This window comes from Homo sapiens, chromosome X (genome assembly GCF_000001405.40).
Source record: "Homo sapiens chromosome X, GRCh38.p14 Primary Assembly".
In the NCBI taxonomy this organism is placed as follows: Eukaryota; Metazoa; Chordata; class Mammalia; order Primates; family Hominidae; genus Homo; species Homo sapiens.
This window is the reverse complement of record NC_000023.11, coordinates 142,201,158-142,208,710: the sequence shown is the minus strand read 5'-3', so window position 1 is coordinate 142,208,710 and position 7,553 is coordinate 142,201,158. Positions and strand designations below refer to the sequence as shown.

The following is a 7,553-nucleotide window of genomic DNA, read 5'->3' as shown; positions in this document are numbered from 1 at the left end:
GCATGCTGGCCCACTGTGGTGTCCCCTGACTTCTTAGAGGGTAGAAAGAGGAGAGGGCTGTGCTCAAGTGAGTCTCACTTCAGATCATGAGAGGGGAAGGGACTCAGGCTCTTCCAGGCATCCCCAGGATGACATAGAGGAAGGACTGGTGAGACATCCCTTCCAAGAAACAGAAGGACACACAAAACCAGCCCCTGTTTTCACCCCTGAGAGGCCTTGGGCAGGGCCCTCAGGCAGGGATGCTAGGGCTTTTCACTTCCTCTTGGCTTGGGGTCTCATGGAAATGGGAACCTTGATCTGAAGATCATAGTCTCTGGACAGCAAGGGAAGGGACTCTGAGGCCCCGTCAGGAATAATAATTGCAGGAAGACAGAGTCTTGTCCATGCCATTTCAGACACAGGGCACCGGAGCCCTGCCATGGGCTTTGGAGGCCCTATCCTATTGTGGATGGATGTGATTCTCCCTTTCTTCTACCTTGCAGGTCTCAGGGATGGGAGGGGCTTATTCGGAGGTGAAAGACTCAGATGCACAGAGGCAGGGAGCCCAGGGAGTTTCAGGAGTCCAGGCACAGCCTCTCAGGAAGGCTGGAAGGGAATGCCCATGGCTGGTAGTGCCCCTCCCCTGCCCCCATGCCTGCTGCCAGCTCTGGAGGACCCCATCAGGGTCCCCAGATGTACAACTTTCTAATTTCCATTTTGGGAGTCTGCCGGAGGGGAAGTTTTCTCTGAGGAGGGCAGTTTCAGTTAAGTGGAGAGAGGAGCCCCAGGACTGGCCACTCAACAAGAAGAGAATTCTGTGGAAGGACAGTGACCTCCCAACACGGAGGGGAGGCCCAGATCACGCCCAGTCACAACCTGCTGTAACACCTGGAGAAAGGAGGTGACCAGGAGAGAGCAGAGAGGTGGGAAGAAAGAGGTGGGCTGGGGAGTGACAAAGAAAAGGTGGAGGGGGACCATAAGGTAAGCAGGAAGGGCTAGAAGGAGGCAGGGAAGTGGGCAGGAAGAAGTGGGCCAGCCACGTGGAGGTGGATAGGAAGAAGTGGAAGGGGTTGGGGAAGTGGGCAGGAGTGGGTGGAAGGGGGTGAAGAGGTGAGCCATAATGGGTGGAATGGGTAGGGAGGTGGGTAGGAAAGGGTGGGAGGGAGTGGGGAGATGGACAGGAACCGGTAGAAGGGGGCGGAAGGTGAACAGTAATGGGTGGAATGGAGTAGGGAGGTGGGCAAGAAAAAGTGGATGGAGGTGGAGAGGAGGGTAGGAAAGGGTGGAAAGAGGTGGAGAGGTGGGGGCGGATCCTCTGCAGAGAGGAGGCCCCCCTCCCCGATGCTGGGTGTATAGCGCTCTACACCCAGGAGAATGGCTGACATCTAAAACACTGAAACATCAAATGTTGACATGCATGTTGACCACCAGGAACTTTCAGTCATTGTTAGTGGGATAGACCTGGAGGAATCATGAAAGCATATTGCTAAATGAAAGAAGAAAATCTAAAAAGGCTTCCTAGCATACCACATTCTGGAACATGCAATGATGAATACACTAAAAATATTACTGGTTTCCAGGGGCTGAGGGCTGGGGTTGGGGCAAGGGGAATTGATTCATTAGGTGGAACACACAGGAGCTCTAAGATGGTGAAACAATTCTGTGGGACAATACAATGATGAATACTTGCCATTACACCCTTATCGAAATGTATAATATCCCCATCGTTAAGAGTGAGTCCTGATGTAAACCATGGACTTAAGTGTGAGGTATCAATACAGTTCCATCAGTTGTAGCAAACATGTCATAATAATACAAAATGTAAATAAAAAGATAGACTTTGTGTGTGTGTGCAGCAATCAGGGCAGGGCGGGTGGTGTAGATTATGTAGGAACTCTAATTCTGATGAAGATTTCTCTTTGTATTTTTGAATTAGCAATGCTCTAAAAATGAAGTTTATTCATCTATAAAACGATGCAAATGATTTGAATAGACACTTTACGAAAGGGAATATAGCAAACGGAAAAAAAGCATATAAAAAGATGACCAATGTCATATGTCATTAAGAAGAGGCAAACAAAAACCAAAGAAGGTTCCAATACATGCTTATGAGAATGGCTAAAACCTGAAAATCTAAAATACTCAATGTAAGAGAGGATATAGAATAACAGAAATTCTCATTCCTTGCTAGTTGTGATAAAAAATAGTACAGGCACACTTTTAAGTCAGTATTTTATGAAGCTAATCATATGACAAATTGGAAAAGTTAAAAGTATAGGAACTGAAAACAGAAGACAGTTGCTAGGAGCTTTGTAGAAGTGCGGTGATTGACCTCAAAAGGGATGCACAGGAGAAGTTTAGGCAGGTGGAACTGGTCAGTATGATACTTGGTTGGTAGATATGGGAGTCCATGCATTTTCCAAAATACATATAACTTCACATTCTAGTTAAATCTGATGTGTGTATTTAAAACTTTAATCACGTATTGGTTTTTTAAAGGGTCACGGGTTGCTGAAAAGACAGTGGTTTTTTTCAGGGACTAGGATAGGAAAAGAAGCAACAATAAGGAAGCCTTTAACACAGGGTATGGGAGAGATGACACTAATTTCACTCACAGCAGTAAAGTGGAAAAACTTGGAATGGAATTTAGAGGTCGAAGGAACAAATGTTGCTGTCTGGACAGGAGAAGGAAGGAGTATAGGCTCTTTTAGGAGTCATACCTTGAGAAAGACAGAGGGGCATTCCCACCCCATTTCAGAGGGCAGTGGAGGCCTGCCTTAGGGCTAGGAGGCCCTATCCCACTGTGGATGGATGTGATTCTCCCTCTCTTGCACCTTGCAGGTCTCAGGGATGGGAGGGGCTTATTCGGAGGTGAAAGACTCAGATGCACAGGGTCAGGCATCCCAGGCAGTATCAGGAGTCCAGGCACAGCCTCTCAGGAAGGCTGGAAGGGAACACCCATGACTGGTAGTGCCCCTCCCCTGTCCCTGCTGCCAGCTCTGGAGGACCCCATCAGGGTCCCCAGATGTACAATTTTCTGACTTCCATTTTGAGAGTCAGCAGAAGGGGAGGCTGTTGTCTCTGAGGAGGGCAGCTTCAGTTAAGCAGAGAAAGAAGTCCCAGAACTGGCCAAAAAACAAGAGAGATGTGGAAGGACGGTGACCTCCCAACACGGAGGGGAGGCGCAGACTGCACCAAGCCACTCCCTGCTGACACCCCTGGAAAAAGGAGAGTGGGGTGTCAAGGACTGGGGAGGTGGGAGTGAAGAGGTCCGCAAGGCTTAGGGAGTGAGCAGGAAGGGTTGGAGGGCAGCTGGGAGGTGGGGAGGAAGGGATGGAAAAAAAGCAGAGAGGTGGGGGGTGGTTCCTCCTCAGAGAGGAGGCCCCGCCCCACATTGACGCTGCGTCAGCCCTGGACAACCACGGCAGGGTTCCCGGATGTGCTTTCCCGACGGCCATCTTGGGAATCTGACGGATCGAAGGCATTTGTGAGGAGGCGCGAATCAAGTTAGCGGGGGGAAGAGTCTTAGACCTGGCCAGTCCTCAGGGTGAGGGCCCTGAGGAAGAACTGAGGGACCTCCCACCATAGAGAGAAGAAACCCCGGCCTGTACTGCGCTGCCGTGAGACTGGTAGGTCCCAGACAGGGAAATGGCCCCAGAAGAAGGGAGGAGGTGCCGGCCCTCTAGGGAATAAATAGGAAGACACTGAGGAGGGCTGGGGGAACCCCCACCTCAGAGGGCAGATTCCCAGAGATTCCCACCCTGCTCCTCAAGTATCAGCCCTCGTAGAGCTCCCCAGTCAGCTCAGGCGGGGTGGCAGCCATCTTATTCCTGGGTGAGTGGCGTAGGGGAGGCGGAGGCCTTGGTCTGAGGGTCCCATGGCAAGTCAGCACGGGGAGCTGCCTCTGGTTGGCAGAGGGAAGATTCCCAGGCCCTGCTGGGGATAAGACTGAGGAGTCACATGTGCATCAGAACGGACGTGAGGCTACCCCGACTGCCCCCATGGTAGAGTGCTGGGAGGTGGCTGCCACCGCCCTACCTCCCACTGCTCTCAGGGATGTGGCGGTTGCTCTGAGGTTTTGCCTTAGGCCAGCAGAGTGGTGGAGGCTCGGCCCTCTCTGAGAAGCCGTGAAGTTGCTAATTAAATTCTGAGGGGGCCATGCAGTCCAGAACTATGAGGCTCTGGGATTCTGGCCAGCCCCAGCTGTCAGCCCTAGCAGGCCCAAGACCCTACTTGCAGTCTTTAGCCTGAGGGGCTCCCTCACTTCCTCTTGCAGGTGCTCCAGGAACCAGGTGGTGACGAACTGGGTGTGAGGCACACAGCCTAAAGTCAGCACAGCAGAGGAGGCCCAGGCAGTGCCAGGAGTCAAGGTGAGTGCACACCCTGGCTGTGTACCAAGGGCCCTACCCCCAGAAACAGAGGAGACCCCACAGCACCCGGCCCTACCCACCTATTGTCACTCCTGGGGTCTCAGGCTCTGCCTGCCAGCTGTGCCCTGAGGTGTGTTCCCACATCCTCCTACAGGTTCCCAGCAGACAAACTCCCTAGGAAGACAGGAGACCTGTGAGGCCCTAGAGCACCACCTTAAGAGAAGAAGAGCTGTAAGGTGGCCTTTGTCAGAGCCATCATGGGTGAGTTTCTCAGCTGAGGCCACTCACACTGTCACTCTCTTCCACAGGCCTGTTGGATCTCATCATCCATATCCCTGTTGATACGTTTACCTGCTGCTCCTGAAGAAGTCGTCATGCCTCCCGTTCCAGGCGTTCCATTCCGCAACGTTGACAACGACTCCCCGACCTCAGTTGAGTTAGAAGACTGGGTAGATGCACAGCATCCCACAGATGAGGAAGAGGAGGAAGCCTCCTCCGCCTCTTCCACTTTGTACTTAGTATTTTCCCCCTCTTCTTTCTCCACATCCTCTTCTCTGATTCTTGGTGGTCCTGAGGAGGAGGAGGTGCCCTCTGGTGTGATACCAAATCTTACCGAGAGCATTCCCAGTAGTCCTCCACAGGGTCCTCCACAGGGTCCTTCCCAGAGTCCTCTGAGCTCCTGCTGCTCCTCTTTTTCATGGAGCTCATTCAGTGAGGAGTCCAGCAGCCAGAAAGGGGAGGATACAGGCACCTGTCAGGGCCTGCCAGACAGTGAGTCCTCTTTCACATATACACTAGATGAAAAGGTGGCCGAGTTAGTGGAGTTCCTGCTCCTCAAATACGAAGCAGAGGAGCCTGTAACAGAGGCAGAGATGCTGATGATTGTCATCAAGTACAAAGATTACTTTCCTGTGATACTCAAGAGAGCCCGTGAGTTCATGGAGCTTCTTTTTGGCCTTGCCCTGATAGAAGTGGGCCCTGACCACTTCTGTGTGTTTGCAAACACAGTAGGCCTCACCGATGAGGGTAGTGATGATGAGGGCATGCCCGAGAACAGCCTCCTGATTATTATTCTGAGTGTGATCTTCATAAAGGGCAACTGTGCCTCTGAGGAGGTCATCTGGGAAGTGCTGAATGCAGTAGGGGTATATGCTGGGAGGGAGCACTTCGTCTATGGGGAGCCTAGGGAGCTCCTCACTAAAGTTTGGGTGCAGGGACATTACCTGGAGTATCGGGAGGTGCCCCACAGTTCTCCTCCATATTATGAATTCCTGTGGGGTCCGAGAGCCCATTCAGAAAGCATCAAGAAGAAAGTACTAGAGTTTTTAGCCAAGCTGAACAACACTGTTCCTAGTTCCTTTCCATCCTGGTACAAGGATGCTTTGAAAGATGTGGAAGAGAGAGTCCAGGCCACAATTGATACCGCAGATGATGCCACTGTCATGGCCAGTGAAAGCCTCAGTGTCATGTCCAGCAACGTCTCCTTTTCTGAGTGAAGTCTAGGATAGTTTCTTCCCCTTGTGTTTGAACAGGGCAGTTTAGGTTCTAGGTAGTGGAGGGCCAGGTGGGGCTCGAGGAACGTAGTGTTCTTTGCATTTCTGTCCCATATGGGTGATGTAGAGATTTACCTGTTTTTCAGTATTTTCTAAATGCTTTTCCTTTGAATAGCAGGTAGTTAGCTTCAGAGTGTTAATTTATGAATATTAGTCGCACATGTATTGCTCTTTATCTGGTTTAAGAGTAACAGTTTGATATTTTGTTAAAAAAATGGAAATACCTTCTCCCTTATTTTGTGATCTGTAACAGGGTAGTGTGGTATTGTAATAGGCATTTTTTTTTTTTTTTACAATGTGCAATAACTCAGCAGTTAAATAGTGGAACAAAATTGAAGGGTGGTCAGTAGTTTCATTTCCTTGTCCTGCTTATTCTTTTGTTCTTGAAAATTATATATACCTGGCTTTGCTTAGCTTGTTGAAGAAAGTAGCAGAAATTAAATCTTAATAAAAGAAAGCCCCACTGACTCCTTTATTTGCTGAACATTCTTTTAGTATTTGCTTGTGGAAGTCACTGTTAGTATTGGGGATACTAATAAAAGCATGACTTATCTCTACCCGTAAAACAGTAGAGTCTAGGAGCAGAAGCCATATTAAGAAGGTGGTAAGATGTTCTCTACAATCTAAAGAACAAGTTAAAAAGGGGCTGGGGAGGTGAGACTCCAGATGCAAGCCTTCAAGTATAAAGGTCTTGAGATAAGGCAGCTTGGGGCTTTGGAAAACTGCAGTTGCTTCTCTGGGAGGTGGTAGTTACGAAGCTGGGTGGTGGCAGGGACCAGACTCTCAGAGGGTGAGGGAAGAGCCTGGAATGGAAAATTGCTCTGAGCAGTTGCTTCTGGGTGGAGGATGAAGCAGAGAGGAGTATCCACCTGGGGAAGTCATGGAAGGTGTCCTGTGGCTCTGTAACTGGTGAGCTTGAACACAGTGCAAGGACTAGGTGATTGATACCCATCATCTGCAAGAGTTTCCTGAGAAATGTGGTGATAATTCCTTGAAGTGGTGCCCAGAAGCCTCTAGGCTGGCACTCACTTACCTGGCATGGGAGAGCCAGAGCCTACTCCATGGAAAGGCCACTGAATTAGGTTATTTTGAATTTAATGTGGGCAACTCCAAGCAAGGGCTAGATTTTTAGTGGAGGATACATAAAAATAGTGCTTTGGATCGACGAGCACTGGGGAAGGCAAAAAGGAGTTGGTCCTTGACTCAAATTCCGGGATCATTGAGTTGCATTCCACTTGGGTAATTCTCCACTTACCCAAGTTATACAGTATATCATTTTGGAAAGAAAATGTACTGAGTTTTATTTATGAAGCCAGATTTTTGGTTGAGTTGGTACTCCATGACGTAGTCAGCTAAATATGCTCTGAGATGTTTTGGATCATAAAACAGGAGTGAAATTTTTCATAAAAGACAGTGGTACCCTTGAGGTTATAATCATATTGATAACAACTGCCATTTGTTAAAATTCCAGTATATGCTTGGCACTGTGCCAGGTGTTTTACTCACATTATAAACATCCAGCAATTCTAAGGCAGGGCTTATGAAACCCCTTTTATAGATGAAGAACCTGAGGCTCATAGTCCTTGATAAATTCAGTAAGATCACACGGCTAGAAAGTGACAGTGCTGGCACTTGAGCCTTGCTCTGAATT

At 49.3% G+C, this 7,553-nt stretch overlaps 1 protein-coding gene and 1 pseudogene across 1 annotated transcript, besides 1 other annotated feature; both read left to right on the top strand.

Annotated features, from left to right (window-relative positions):
• LOC100420230 (MAGE family member C3 pseudogene) lies at positions 2,962–3,537 on the top strand (annotated as a pseudogene).
• On the top strand, positions 3,421–6,369 carry MAGEC2 (MAGE family member C2). Its single transcript, NM_016249.4, has 3 exons — positions 3,421–3,608; positions 4,256–4,349; positions 4,658–6,369. Exon 3 carries the CDS (start codon positions 4,724–4,726, stop codon positions 5,843–5,845), a length of 1,122 nt encoding a protein of 373 aa, NP_057333.1. The 5' UTR covers positions 3,421–3,608; positions 4,256–4,349; positions 4,658–4,723; the 3' UTR covers positions 5,846–6,369.
• Positions 3,707–4,906: an enhancer, noted in NCBI's record as "CDK7 strongly-dependent group 2 enhancer chrX:141291591-141292790 (GRCh37/hg19 assembly coordinates)". NCBI's record gives its function as "activates an origin of replication core promoter dependent on BRD2, BRD4, P300/CBP, MED14 and CDK7 cofactors, with strong dependence on CDK7, by STARR-seq in HCT116 cells {active_cell/tissue: HCT116}" and the evidence as "EXISTENCE:reporter gene assay evidence [ECO:0000049][PMID:35650434]".